Source organism: Homo sapiens, chromosome 16 (genome assembly GCF_000001405.40).
Source record: "Homo sapiens chromosome 16, GRCh38.p14 Primary Assembly".
NCBI classification, from domain to species: Eukaryota; Metazoa; Chordata; class Mammalia; order Primates; family Hominidae; genus Homo; species Homo sapiens.
This window is the reverse complement of record NC_000016.10, coordinates 65,808,929-65,824,623: the sequence shown is the minus strand read 5'-3', so window position 1 is coordinate 65,824,623 and position 15,695 is coordinate 65,808,929. Positions and strand designations below refer to the sequence as shown.

The following is a 15,695-nucleotide window of genomic DNA, read 5'->3' as shown; positions in this document are numbered from 1 at the left end:
GGGTTTGTAATCATGGTCTGATTACTTCCTTAAAGCAATGCCATTATATCAAATTTACAGATTGAAAAACTAAGGCTTGTGGAGATTAACAGCCAGCAGCTCATACATTTAGAACTAGGACTCAACCCAGATCTGCTTAACTATGAAGGAAATCCATGTCATTTTTACTAAATCAGTGAGAAACCTCCAATAATCCACATGTTCACCTGTATAAATCTTGAAAAATGGATGTTTCTTGTTATGCCTTGGAGGCAATACAGAAACCTACCATGCCTTACAAACTCTCCGATAAATATTGTTATGTTTGATTAAAATTTTTTTTAAAAAAACCTGTTGCCATGTTTCAATGTGGAAAACTATGCAATATCTGGTGCCTTCCAGTTAAATAGAACATTGAATTAATCAGGACATCAATTTCCTGAGCATTCCAGATAAAAAAGTTTTCTTTACAAATATGTAATAAATACAATACGGAGAAGAACTCACAGACTGTGTTTTGAGAAACTCTTTGGAAGTAGTGGGACTATACCAAATAATGGATGACAATTGACTTCTTTGCTCTTTTCTGTCCAATTTCCATCACCTGTCTGGGAGATTGGGAGTGGAATGAAGGAGGATCACGGTCTCTGCTTCATTTTTGCCCTTTATGTGTCTGCTGCCTTGATGTGTGGGAGAGGAGGTGGCCCAAGATCCACAAGTCATGGTGGTAATAGAATGTGCTCCAGCCCTCTGGTACCTTTCACTCTTAAACTCATTGTCCAGCCTGGCAAAGAGAAGAATTGAGTTAATTGGCCCATGACGTTCTCTTGGTTGTATCTATTATCTACTGCAGATCCCTCCTTTCTCAAGAGGGGACAGTGAAGGAACCAAATGCACATGCATTATTTCATTTCCTCAACACAAATCCCACGGAGTAGGAGTCATTTCACCCAAGTTAAAGACACTGATAGGCTCCAGAAATTTAAGTGACGCATCAACAGCAATATAGCCAGTGAGCAGCAGAGAGGAGCTTTAAATCCAGGCATTTCATGCTCCAACAGAAAATGGAGTCTCATAAGAGCCTACAGGAGGCTATAATAGGTAGCACTGGTGTGGACCTCCCTTGAAAGAACTGCCCTGGTGAGCAGGGGAGCGATGTCCTGACTCCACCTGTGATCTATGACCTCTGCATCTCTAATAGAAGGAGGCTGTTATTATATCATTCAGAACAGAACTTTATGTATTAAAAAAAAGTGTTCTTTTCCTCAAACTTGATAAATAAGGCAAAGAGGATTGAGTGATTGAATGTTAACAAAATAAACCCCTCAGAAATAAATGAACATTTCATATTGTGCTTCATTTCAGTTTCATGAGCTCCAAAATAGCACTTCAAGTGATTAATGTTTTCTTTATTAACCGTAACTAAGCCTGAGCAAAGCCTCTCTCTTTTCTCTAACACGTTTTTGCAGGAGATTGAGGGTAGTTCATTTCTAAAAGTAACCCTTTGGAACCTGCTGCAGGTGGCTCAATGTAGCAGGGGCAGTATAGATTTTGCTGTCAGGCAAACCTGGGCTCCAATCTTGGTCCTGTGACTTTCTGCATGGCCTTGAAAGAACGAGCCTTAGTTCAACATTAGAATATGGGGATGTAAATGTTAACCTCATAGAACTATGGTAGTCTGCGACATTGGTGGCCCCAATGAACTGTGCGTCCTGGTATTCCTGTGCTTTGAAACTGGGCTGTGTCCATGGCTTGCTTTAGTTAATAGGATGTGGTGGAACTTCTAAGAGTGCTGAAGTGCAAGTCTTTCTAAAGCCCTAATTCTCAATGGAGAATGATTTTTCCCCACAAGGGGACATTTGGCAGTGCTGAGAGACACATTTTTAATATCACAATTGGGGAAGTACTACTGGCATCCAGTGAATGAAGGCCAGGAATATTGCTAAATATTCTACAACGCACAACCTGGGTATCTACCGCCTCCTCCCTCCAACAAATAAGTATGCAGCCCAAAATTTCAATATCATGGAGGTGAGAAACCCTGTTCTAAATATTAGGCTGGGTCCTGGTCCTAATTCTCCATGTAGGAAAACAGTTAGTTTGCAGGAGAGATGGTGTGAAGGGGCTGCCTGTAGGTGACAAGGTCACGTTGAGAGAAAGAGGCCCTGAAACTCCTTGGAGAGAACAACAGAAGCCAAGCCATCCCACTGTCCCAGCTAAGCCCAGCCATCCCACTGTCCCAGCTAAGCCCAGCCCACAGCTGTCTCACCAGATGAATGCAGCCAGTAAGTGATCAGCAGCAAGACCTGCAGAAGAACTGTTCAGCTGAGCCCAGCCCAGTTTTCAGAAACGTGAACTGAATTTAAATGTTTGTTGTTGTTGTTGTCTTAAACCAACTTTGGAGTGGTTCATTACACATCAGTAGATAACTAAAAGAGCATACATTAAAGAAACTGTGAGATCTCAATAAACATTAGATTCCTTCTGCAGGGAATGCTGTGGTGTATCACTGAGATGCACTCTTCAGGACTGAGGCTCTTATCCCACCAGCAGCTGATAATATTAGCAGCTGACATTTCACAGCTGAGTGCCTTGCTAAGGTTTGCTTTTAGCTGAAGAGAGTTGCCTCACCTAAACTCACAGTCCTTTCCCTGGGGCAGCCACCTCCAATGACTGGTCCATGTAGTTGAGAAGAAAGGCCCTTGCCTCAAAACAGGACAATAATAAAGAGCCATCCCAGTTCTAGAGTTCCCCAGGGCCATTGGTGAGTTGGCAACTGTTAAACACCTCTCTCTTTCAGCTCCAGAGTTCTTCACCACCTCCGGGTCTTCATCTTGAGGGAACTGCCCCAAGAATCTCCTGTATGCAAATCTTATTTCCCAGGGAACCTGACTTGGAATGCTTTCTTCCTCCTTGTCTTCCATCTAGAAGTTTTGGTCTTAGGACCCTCAAGACACAAGGTAGTTTGGCCAAGAGCTCTGTCCTTGGATGCTCAATCAAGCTGCAGTCTCTTCTCCATCCCTAGCTTTCAGTCTTTGTCAGGTACCAGTTGCCTGGACAATAAAGAAAGAAGTAATAAGTCTTGCCCTAAGCTCAAAGAGAAATTCAGAAGTTTAACTGTATCTCTGGGAAACTTTTAAGTAGAAAAGAAACACAAGGAAACATATTAATCTTTACCAGAAATGCAAGAAGAGTGAATTAAATCCACCTTGAGATACCATTTTGCATTGACTAAATTAGCAGAACAAAGTAAAAATATATTCAAATACACATTGCTGATGACATTATGGTGAATATTGGGGCCTCTTAATCTGCTGATTTAAATATAAATTTCTTAACCTTAGGAGAAAGCAACATGGCAACACAGTGGAAGCCACAAATGTGTTCTTGCCCTTTGGCTCATTAATGGTGTTATGAGAATCTATCTGAATAAATTTGTTTAAGAGAAGATTCAGGATTTGAATTATGATATCTTAAATTCCACCAGGCTGAAAACCATGTACGTAGTGCCCATAAATATGTAGTGGATAACAAAACGCTGGAGCATAGAACTGGAAGATTGAGAGCTACGTATTGCATTAGAAAAGCAGCTGGAATTGAACATTTCTACCGTAGTCTCCCTTGTCCTCGGTTTCACATTCTCTGGTTTCAGTTACCCATGGTCAACCTCGGTCTGGAAATATTAGGAAAATTCCAGAAATGAACAATTCATAAGTTTTAATTTGGACACCATTCTGAGTCATGTGATGAGAACCACATGGGACCACATGAGAACCGTGCTGTCCTGCTCTGTCCTGCCTAGGATGTACATCAGTCCTTTGTCCAGTATATCCACACTATGGACACCACTGTCCAGCATATCCATGCTATAGATGCCACCCACCTGTGGCACATAGGAGCCGTTGAGGTAATCAGGCCAACAGCCACCACATCACTTTTACTTAATATTGGCCCCAAAGTACAAGAGTAGTGATGTTGGCATATTGTTATACATATTCGATTTTATTATGAGTTAGTGTTAATCTCTTATTGTGCCTAATTTCTAAATTACACTTTTTCCTAGGCCATGTATGTATAGAAAAAAAACATTGTGTAGATATGGTTCAGTACTACCTGTGGTTTCAAGCATCTACTGGGGGTCTTAGAATGTGTGCCCTACTGCTAAGGGGGACTATTCTATCTCGATGCTTCTGAAAGCTTGGTCTTGTAACGACATCCAGATAGCCTGGGACATTATTAACAAGTGTAATCCTGACCCTGACCTCAAATCTCAAGAAATAGTTTATGTGAGTTGGGCCTGGGAACCTGCATTTTAAATACATTCTCCAGGTGTCCTTGTGCTCCCAAGTGTGACTGCCCTATATTGAAACTGTTGCTTTACGCCTTTTTGAGGGGCGTAGAATTAGTAGGGATATTATCTTTTCAAATTTGCTATAGTTATTTTGTTATAATGTTTTCACAATTGTTAGGAGGAAAAGAAGTGTAATTTTCCTTGAGCATTCCAAAGAAAAGTCATTTTAATTATAGACATCGTAATAGTCCCCCATTAAGGTGCATAGCTTAACCTCATCTACGTGGGTAGGTTAAGTATCAAGAGAGAAAAGTCTTGCACTAAGTAAAGGACACTCTTATCATTATTAATCTTCCTGGTAATAGATATTTATGATACATTTAAGGATCTTTTGTTATTAACCATTCCAAAGCCCCCTTGGTTCTGTTTCTAGCACTCTTCTGGCTCCTGCCTTGTGGAGGCTGGGATGCCTAATATACGGCTGGAGCCTGTCATTGGTTTTAGGGAGAGTTTTTCTGAAGGCTAAAGCAAAGACATTAAATCCCAAAGCTTAAAAATATTGTCCTCTTAATCTGGAGAGAGGAACACACATGTGAGACAAATGCCCACTTCAGGGTGGAACTGGGAAGACAGATGGAAACATTAGATTTTGAGTAGCCCACGGCAGCCCCTCCTTGCCTGGTGGAGCCATTAGCACAACGAAAATAGCTGTAATAAAAGTAATGCATATCTCTGTCTTAAGAATTTATTCCAATGACTATTTAACCATGTGCTAGCCTAGTAGACTTCCTGGTCTTTAAAGAAAAAAAAACTTCTGGCTTTAGCAAAAATATCTTTAACTCCAAATTCTGTATCAGAGGAATATTGGAAAGGGAGACTTTTCAAAGGTGAGCTCTTGATGCCAATTTGTGTTCACCTGATAACCAGCCCAATTACTGATTGGAAGAAGCAAGAGAGAGGATTAGAATGCAGGTATGTGTGCATATTTGTGCATGTGTGCATGCGTACACACACAGACACACATGCACACCCAAAAGCCTCAAATAGGCAAATAATTCATATAGTGAAGAAATATTACAGGGTTGTAGAAGGCACATGTTGATGCTAATGAAGCCAAATGACAGAGGTAGAAATTCCTCTTTTATTCCTTGTCATGACTGAAGAAGATGAAACAAAAATCTATCCTTGGTTTCATGTGAGCTGGGACCAGGTCATGGGGGAATTGAATGACTATAGTGGCTTTGACTTAAAATGAAATTGTACAAACCTTGGAGACCAGAGAAGTCTTAAACATTTTGGTTTTCTTAATGAAAGAAATATGTAAAGATTATGCAAGGACATTCCAATTAAGATTGATTCCTAAAATTGAGATTTCACCAAGTGGTTTAAGGTTAAAAAGAAATGGAAAAAGGTACTCAACTCAATCTCAGATTTTTTTCTTTAAATCTTGCCCTGTTTTATTAGTGTTTAAGTAGTACCTTTAAGTATTGGCAGTTAAGATAATTATAACTAAATTTCATAACTGAAAATTACACTTTTACTTTTAAGTTAAACCATGTAGTTGATTAAAAAACTCATGCTTATTTCTGAATATCTGGTAAAATGTGTGTTTTGCGATTTAGACTAGGCATCTCATAAGTAAGACCTTGCTACTTATCTGAAAAATCAGAAACTGGAACACCAAAATCAAGTGAGGACAATCATGCTACAGTAGTGTTGAACTTTTCAGGTCATTTACATATATGCCTATGCATGTATGCATGTCTGTCTTTTCTTCCTTATTCTAAGAGAAATCAAGATTCTTTATAAATATGGATTCCTATGGTATAGTGTTTTGCAAACATACAATCTGACTGAATATTAATCATATCTGTTAAACCTAGAGGGCTATAAATATCATTCATTGAATTTGGTTCTGCATTTAGCTATATGTTTGAAACATTTTCCTACTAAAAGCAAATACAGAAGCAGCAACATTACATGGTCCAGGATATATATTAATATGTGGTAGGAGTGTGTGTGTGTGTGTGTGTGTGTGTGTCTGTGTGTATCTCAGAGGTAGTAGATAGATTGTTCTTTTATAGAGATGAGCAAACATTTCTGTAAAGGGCCAGATAGTGGATATGCTCAGCTTGGTGGGGCATAAGGTGGTCTCTGTTGCATCTACCCAACTCTGCCATTATGGCATGAAAGCAACCCTAGACAATATATTAAAGACTGGGTGTGGCTGTGTTCCAATAAAACTTTATTTACAAACACAGGTGGTGGGCCAGAGTTGGTCCTTAGTTTGCCAATCCCTGGTTTAGAGAGTAAATCAGGTAGTGTATCATTAGAATTATTTTTTCACACTCAGCATTTTGCCTATGGAGATGTGAGACCCAGAAAAGTAAAGTGACTTGCCCCAAGACACACAGCAAAGCCAGGGCCAGAGTCCATATTTCCATGATGTCCCTTGATCCCCTTAACATAGAGTAGAAGCCAAAGTGACGGCTCACTCCTCAGGAAGAGGGAAGGGCACCACAAGAGAGAATGAAGACCGTCTCCTCCTGACAGTATTCAGGGTGTGCCTGTGTTTTGCCCATGGTTTCTTGTTTGGTTGGTTTTTAATGGCAGAAGAACCACCAAGCAGGGAGGCTCTTGGATCTGCCACTCCACTTAGCTCTGTAGCCTTGAAGCAAATCATTTCTCTACCCCGAGCTTCATTTTCTTTAATCTGTAAAATGAGGGCTTTAACTTGATAATCTGAATTCCATTTTGTTCTCAAATTTTATGATTTTTTTTTAGTGTATTTCTTCCAGTTTAGCATTTTCCCTATCAATTCACATTGATTCACTGGTGGGCTAAAACTTAGCCAGGTCTTGGGTGCGGAGAGGCCTGAAGTTGGTGGCCCTGGATGCAGAGAGGCCTGAAGTTGGTAGCCCCACTTGAGTGCTGTACGCCAGATCACAGATTTCTGTGCTTACCAGGACACCCACTACTACCACCTTTATGGAGCATCCCAGGAACTCTGATGGCCTCATTGTTTCTTAGGCCCAGAGTTGATTACCATAATAAAGATACCTACCTGCTTACAAAGCCTTTCTATTTTTGGCTCTGAACTGCTGAGCTGGGTGTTTTACCAACTCACTGGTCTTGCTCATAGATTTATCTGTCCCCTTAGAATCCCTACCTCTCACTGAACTTCTGCACAGTAAGCATTTTTATAGGAAACCATGCCCTGGTTTCAACATATGCAAGGCGAGGCGGGATAAGGCCCTCCTGTGGAGTTATTCTGGGTGAATGTATTATTGCCACCCATTGGTACATTTCTTCCAAGGGGACTTAATATTGTCCTTTCTCTACTCCAGGACCTCCTCCGTTTTAGTTCAATTTTATCCCTAGAAAATGCGGTGTAGGAAACAGAGCACTGGACTCAGTTGAGAGACCTGGATTCAAATCCTGATGGGCAGCCCTTTAACCTTTCTCCCAGCTTCCTAACTGAACACTAGAGAAGGCAGCCTCTGCCTTATCTTCCACAGCCCATTGCAACAGATCTGAGCTCTGGTTTTACATGGGAATAACCAGAGATGTAAAAAAAATTCAGACTCCTGAGCTCCTCCCCAGATCCATTGAATCAGAGCCTCTGGGGTTGGTGCCCAGGCACTGACTGTTACTAAATGCTCCCCACGTAATTTTAGTGAGCCACGAGACTTAAGAGTCACAAGATGTAATAGACTAAATGATATCATCAATATGAATGCACCTTTAAAAAGGGCCATATCAATGTGTTGTCCTATTATTTTTGTTGGTATTTCTATTTAAAAGAAAAATATCAAAATTCTATACAAATAAATCCCAAGTAAAATAAAAAAACAAGAGAACAAAATCAAGCAGCCTATTCTCCAGCACATTTTGGTTCTTTGAGGTTTCCCTTGAGATATACAACCTTCCTACATTGAAATTAGGGTCCAGGCTGGACGCAGTGGCTCATGCCTATAATCCCAGCACTTTGGGAGGCCAAGGTGAGAGGATTGCTTGAGTCCAGGAGTTCAAAACCAGCCTGTGCAACATAGTGAGACCTTGTCTCTACAAATAATAAACAAAATTAGCTGAGCATGGTGGTGCATGCCTATAGCCCCAGCTACTTGTGAGGCTGAGGAGGGAAGATCACTTGAGCCCAGAGAAGTTGAGGCTGCAGTGAGCCAAGATAAGAGCACTGCACTCCAGCCTGAGTGACAGAGCAAGACTCTGTCACAAAAAAAAAAAAAACAAAAAAAAAAAGGAAAAGAAATTAGGGTTTGGTAACACCTACCCAATAGCCCAAGGGACTGGATTCAACGTGCTGCCATTTATTTAATCCTGTGGAAACCCTGAGAAATGATGTTGGTGGCCCCATTTTGTAAGGGAAGCATCTAAAGCTTGGGGAGGCAAATCACTTTGCAGAAATTCCCATAACTAGGAAGTGGAAGTGGTGGGAACAAACATCAGAGTCAAGGGATCTTTGAATTAGATCTTAGCTGTTCCCTGATCCTACCAGACAAAGCTGAAATCACCATCACTTTAAGTCTCAGATGACAAGTGAATAATCCTAATGATGGCAGTAATATCACATTATCATCTTTCATGTTGTCACCTCTCCAAGATACTTTCTCATCTTTTGTATTTTAGAAGATCATCTTATTGAAATCACATACTCAGGTAGTGACTAAAAGGCTGTCCTCCATTTAAAGGTGGGTGGAATTTCAAATGTTTTAATAGGAAATCTCCCAAGTAACGAATGATGTAGACATGTAGCAGGTAGGTTCTTGCTATCCCATTATAACCCTGTCCAATGCTGAGGAGGAGGCTGGATCTGTGGCTGGTCAAGACCCCACCAGTGGAAACAAATTTACCAAGTGATCTAGCAATTCCACTCCTAGGTATCTACCCAAGATAAATAAAAACATTTGTTTATATGACTTTGCATCCTCACAGCTTAGCTCCCACTTACGAGTGAGAACATACAATGTTTGGTTTTCCATTCCTGAGTGACTTCACATAGAATAATAGTCTTCTGTCCATTCAGGTTGCTGCAAATGTCATTAATTCATTCCTTTTTATGGCTGAGTATTATTCCATTGTATGTATATATACCACAATTTCTTTATCCACTTGTTGATTGATGGACATTTGGGCTGATACAATGGACTTTGGGGACTTTGGGGAAAGGGTGGTAGGGGGGTGAGGGGTAAAAGACTACAAATTGTGTTCAGTGCATACTGCTCAGTTGATGCGTGCACCAAAATCTCACAAATCACCACTAAAGAACTTACTCATGTAACCAAATACCACCTGTCTCCAAAAAACTATGGAAATAAAAAATTAAAAAAGAAAAAAACCCAAAAACATATGTTCAAAATACTTGTACGTAAAAGTTCATAGCAGCATTATTTACTATAGCCAAAAAGGGTAAACAACACAAATATACTTCAACAAGTGAATGGGCAAACAAAATATGGTGTATTTGTAAAATGGAATATTATTTGGGCATATAAAGAAATGAAGTACTGATGTATGTTACAACATGGATGAATCTCTAAAAACATTATGCTAACTGAGAAAAACCAGATGCAGAAGACTATCTAATATATCATTCCACTTATACAAAATGTTCAGAAAGGGCAAATCTATAGAGACAGAAAAGAGATTAGTGATTCTCTGCAACTTCCAGAGGATGGGAACAGACATTAATTACAAACGAGCACAATATCTTAAACTGAGAAATGTTCTAAGATGGAATTGTGATTATTTTTATTTTTTTGTGTGTGAATTTTGAGGGTCCCTCTATAGGGGTATGACAGCGAGGTCATTATGATTCAGAATTCGTCTTCTCCTTTTGTCACCAAGATATTTTGGCTGAACATTCAGAGAAGATCTAGCCCATGAGGGACTGCACCAGAAACCAGATTCAAGAGACTGAAATGTAAACCAAATTCCACCTCATAAATTGCTATAAAGAAACCTACCTTCCCAGGAACAAAAATGCTCGTGCCATCCTACAAGGACCTCCACTTTCTGCACTGAGTATTTGGGAGATGGTCATCTGTGGCTCACTTTCTGGGTATGGAGGAAGAGCACAGAGTAAGGGATGTTTCACACCAGCCACACAAGAAGCCTGTGAACAAACCAGCCTTTTACCAGAGACGGCCCTTTATGGACCACTTAGCTGCTTCCCGGATTTAGTGAGTCTTGACAAGGACACTGCAGGTGAATGACTGCCAAGTCTGTTTCCTTCCCTCTTCACCATGCTCCATTCAGACAACCTGCCTTCTGTTTGAGCAGCTATTGCGGGATCTGGCCAGCAGCCTGCAATGCAACGGGGCTCTCTCTCTGCTCCTAGGTGGATCGGCAGGTTGAGAAATAATAGACACACACAAGACAGTGAAAGCTGGGTCCAGGTGGGTCACTGCCTTCTGGTCCCGCGGTGCCAACAATGCACTGGGTATACCAGCATTTATTATTAAGTTTAGTGAGGGCGGGGGTAGGTCAGTGAGGGATTTAGGGTCATTTGATTATGAGGTGAGATGGTCACATGGGGATGAAGTAATTCTTTAACATAACATTTGTATGAAGAAGTACAGTACATTTGTATGTAGAAGTACAGTATACAGAGATAACAATTTACAATATAGTGTGTGCGTCAGTAATTTCTAACAGAGCCTTAGAACAGAAGCACAGTCTTTCCGTAACCTATGATTAGCAAGATATTAATCAGCAGTAACAATTGTAACAAAAGCTGGTTACAAACAATCCATGGAAACAGGACATGAAGCTAGACAACTGGTTAGACCAGAAATTCTCAGAAGGGAGTATGCTTTAACCCTAAAGAGGCCTAGAAGAGCCGCGGCAAGATGAGGGTGTTTATAGCCCTATCTTATCCATATGGACAGGCGCTCCCCATGCATCCGTTTATAGGCTTTCCACAAGGGTCGCATTCCATTCCCAGAGCTATGAACATCTGCTTTTCTGGGATAGGAATCTTGGTGATGTGAAACCTCCCTGACTGCACGTCCATTCATAGGCTTTCTGCAGGGGGAAGCACATCACACGCTGTTGGCTCATTCTGGCAGTCCAACCTGGCATTGTCTTTACACAATCCTGCATGCAACTTTTTATTTACAGTAATCAGGAGCAGTTCATCTTTTATTCCGTAGCAATAGTTTCAGGGGGTCTCCCTACAAGCAGTCTTTCTCCAGCCAGGATACCACGCAATGTTTTAAGTTTCTTTATTCTTATGTACTATGACATTACAGAACTGTCTTGAAATTTTGGTGTGATTTTGCTGACCTACCTTCTGAGAGTAAGATGCGACCAGACAGCTGACACTCCCAATACTGGTTCAAATACCCTGTTCTCTTGCATTCTGAAGATGCTCGTCACTCCTGTGGATTGATGCAGGGTAGAGGCATTATCTTGAACCTCATAAACTTCCTATCCTCTTCAATACAAAGTGAACAAACGGCGTCGTTTCTCAAAATTTGTTCAGTACTGGAATGCACGGCATTCTCCCTTCACATGAAACTCAAATCATTCCAGTTTACTTCTGCTTCTTCCTCCAGGAAATGGATACAAACATGGGATGGACCTTGGTCATCGACGTGCTCCAGATGTCTCAGTTGCAAACGCCTGGGTAAGTGGGAAATTGTAGAGTGGGCCTTCCTGACTTGTAAATGTCACATGAATTCTGTCCCCTCCTTGAACTGCAGGAACTCGGACTGGATGGTAGCTGGGCTGTTTGCCTCTGTCCATACAATTGCTGGGCTTTGGTTGCTCTTTGGAAAAAATGTCTACTGACAGGGTTGTCTCACAGCTCTACCCTTAATCCCCACCTTAGCCCGAACCATAGATCTATCATGAATCCTAGTCTTAGACTTGAATGAACACCAATCTACAATGCTATAAGAATACACAGCACTTAGCATGATGGCTGGCACAGTTTCACTTCTAAGATTATTATTTCACCTTTAGCAACTTCCTTTATTTTATCCCAACCCTCATGGTATTAATCCTGTTTTTAGGTTTAATTTTAAAATCACTTCCATTTATTGATGCCTAGCGTGTCTCATGTAAGAATTGTCTCTCATCTATCTAGCCATCAACTAATGTCCATGATAAATACACACACACACACACACACACACACACATATATATGATGGAAGCATAAATATGATGGAGATATAAGACATAAATCATCAACTTCTCCATTTGCTATTTATGTATCTTGTATCATCTACCTACCTAGATCTAATCTAGAGTTTTTCAGTATCAGTGTCAGGTGTCAGTACTACTGGCATTTTGAACTGAATAATTCTAGGGGTGGGGGATACCGTCCTGTGTATTTTAGGGTATACAGCAGCATCCTGGGCCTCTATCTACTAGATTTTGGGAGCAATATTCCCCCCTTCCAAGTTGTGACAATCACAAATATCTCCAAACAATGCCAAATGTCCCTGTGAGGTGGGGAGGGACTGATCTAATTTATCATCTGTCTATTTTTCCTGGATAAATGTAAAAATGTTCAGAAAGCACAGAGTAGACACTATTATTCCCATCTTGCAGATGAAGAAACTGAGACTGAGAGTTTTGGTGACTGGCACATGGTTACATAAGTATTAAGAGATGGCACAGAATTGCAAAAGTAGATTTGCCTTATTAAAAAAAATCCATGTTCTTTCTATGATACTGGGCTATTTTAAATAATGCTATATTTTATCCTCAATGCCATCATTCTCCTTTATTCTCAATTTAAAATCATCCTCACACTTAATTCTGACTCTCAAAAAACATATGTCTTCCAGCCAAAACATATGTAAATGTATTTAAACCCCAAACCTTCTTTGTAAAACAATTTATTTTAGATTCAGAAGCACACATGCAGGTTACATGGATATATTGCACAATGGTGGAGTTTGAGCTTTAAGTACTCATCACTCAAATAGTGACTATTTTATAAAATTCTATCATCCACTCAAGACTTAACCCTATTTCCAATCCCAATTCTTAGTGACACAATTCTTTCTCAATTTTGTTTCCTATGATCCCAGACAATGAGGATGTTAGCTGAGAAGAGGGAGTCCTGAAATGCCAGTTAACCCAGCAGAAGTTGATAAGCTCACTCACAGCCAGGGACATGGTTTCCCAGGTATACAGTTCTATTGTAAAGGAGGCGATGGGTTTCTTCTCCTCTGCCGACCCACTGAGTAAGTATGCATATAGACGCTGGCCTGCCACAAGCCCGCTGAAGTTGGGTTATCTGGAAACTCTAATAATAGAATGTATCTATTTGCACTTTCCCATGATGGGCTGGAACTTACTTCTGAGAAACCGAGCACTATGGTCTGAGTGTGTCCCCAAAATTTTGTATGTGGAAACTCAACTGCCAGTGTGGTAGCATTGAGAGGGGGGCCTTTAGGAGGCAGTGAAATCATGAGAGCAGAACTCCGAGATAGGATTAGGGCCCTTATAAAGGAGACTGAAGGAGTGGGTTCATCTTCTTCTATTTCCTCTGTCACATGAGGACATGGTGCTTAAGGCCCCATCTTGGAAGCAGAGTCCTGGTCCTCACCAGACATGGAACCTGCCAGCACCTTGATCTTCAACTTAGTCATAGAAATAAATAAGACATTTCTATTATTCCATTTTTTTCTATTATTATTGTGTTAGAAATCAGTCCTTTTAAATTATTATAAATTACCCAGTCTTGGGGTATTTTGTTACAGTGGCACATCCAGATTAAGACACTCAACACATGAAAAAAGGGACATTTAACTGATCCGCTGGCTTCTCAGAGTCTGACATTTTGGTTCAGCTTTTACACAGTAATTTTGATTTCTGCTCCAATACCCTGATGTCCATTAGATGGCTGACAGCTTCAGGTCTTCATGTCCAGAATTCAAACGGGGGAGACACTGTTTTATAGCAATTAACAGTGATGCTTTGAAAGGATGGCAGCAAGCTGAAAACAAAATTAATTGAAAATTTAACCTTTAAATAAAAATACTCAGACCTCAGGCTTCCATTTGTAAGCAGCTTATGCTGTCTGTGCACATTCTGTTGTATTATTTAAGTATTTTCTAGACCATTTCTGATTAATACAGCAGTGCTATTTTCCAGTCCAGTCTCCTTAATAAATACATGTGTCAAATATCTGTTTCCTCCCCTGAATGCAAAGACTTTTAATTCCCCTTGTTTGCATGTGCTAACTGGTTGGATAACGAGATTAACAGCTCTGTCTTTTTTTCCTGCTGCAGATTTTATAAGAAAAGCCAGTGGGCTCCCAGACAAAGTTAAAAAGGTACCTTCTTTAATTTTGCATATTGTTAGCTGCAATCCGGTTGCTAATGTTTGTTTTATTTCCATCTGTCAAAAGCAATGCCAAAATACGTCATGTTTGCCTTGAGTTGGCTCAATTAATCCTCCGCTGGAAACAGTTCTGTCATTTCATATTTGGTTAAGGACCTGATTCAGTAGCTCCCAAACTGAGAGCTCATCTCTGCCAACGGCAGCCAGTGTATGTTTTACTACAAATTTATGGCGAATATCCACTTGACAAAGACAAAAGAGAAAGGTGGGGTGGAGCCCTTAGAGGAGTGTCGATTTGGGGCCAGCCCCATGTCTGCCTTGGGTACAGATAACATCCTGGGCTTGGCCCTGTTGACCTGCTCTTGCGGCACTAAAAGAACAGCTAGGCTAGGCGAGGTGGCTCATGCCTGTAATCCCAGCACTTTGGGAGGCCGAGGTGGGCAGATCACCTGAGGTCAGGAGTTTGAGACCAGCCTGGCCAACATGACGAAACCCAATCTGCACTGAAAATACAAAAATTAGCCAGGCGTGGTGGTGCATTCCTGTAACCCCAGCTACTCAGGAGGCTGAGGCAGGAGAATCACTTGAACTGGGGAGGCAGAGGTTGCATTGAGCTGAGATCATGCCATTGCAGTCCAGCCTGAGCAACAAGAGCGAAACTCTGCCTCAAAAAACAAACAAACAAACAAACAAACAGACAAACAAACAACTAATGGGTTACCCTGGATGAGTGATTTTGAAGGGTCTCAGTGTGGGGCAGACCCCAAGAAGTGCAGCCCTGTGTAAGTCTAATGTTGGTGGATGAGTTTCTTAGGGCTGCAACAACAAAATACCACAGACTGGGTGGCTTAAACAACAGATTTATTTTCTCAAAGTACTGGAGGCAGGAAGTTTGAGATCAAGGCATCGGCAGCGCTGTTTCTTCTGAGGCCTCTCCCCTTGGCGTGTAGATGGCTTCCTTCTCCCTGTGTCCTCACATGGTCTTCCTTCTGCACTATCCGTGTCCAAATTTCCTCTTCTTATAGAAACATCAGTCACATTGGATTAGGGCCCAGCCATATGGCCTCATTTTACCTTAATTACCTCTTTAAAGGCCTTATCTC

General features: G+C 40.9%; 1 long non-coding RNA gene across 1 annotated transcript, besides 1 other annotated feature; it reads left to right on the top strand.

Moving 5' to 3' along the window:
* Positions 6,996-7,605: an enhancer, noted in NCBI's record as "OCT4-NANOG hESC enhancer chr16:65850922-65851531 (GRCh37/hg19 assembly coordinates)". NCBI's record gives its function as "activates a minimal SCP1, AML or CMV promoter by ChIP-STARR-seq in naive H9 embryonic stem cells {active_cell/tissue: H9 hESC(naive)}" and the evidence as "EXISTENCE:reporter gene assay evidence [ECO:0000049][PMID:30033119]".
* On the top strand, positions 11,303-14,584 carry LOC107984823 (uncharacterized). The gene is made up of 3 exons (XR_001752334.2): positions 11,303-11,918; positions 13,335-13,490; positions 14,541-14,584. It is a non-coding gene; the product is annotated as an uncharacterized LOC107984823 (long non-coding RNA).
* Positions 14,585-15,695: the final 1,111 nt, after the last annotated feature.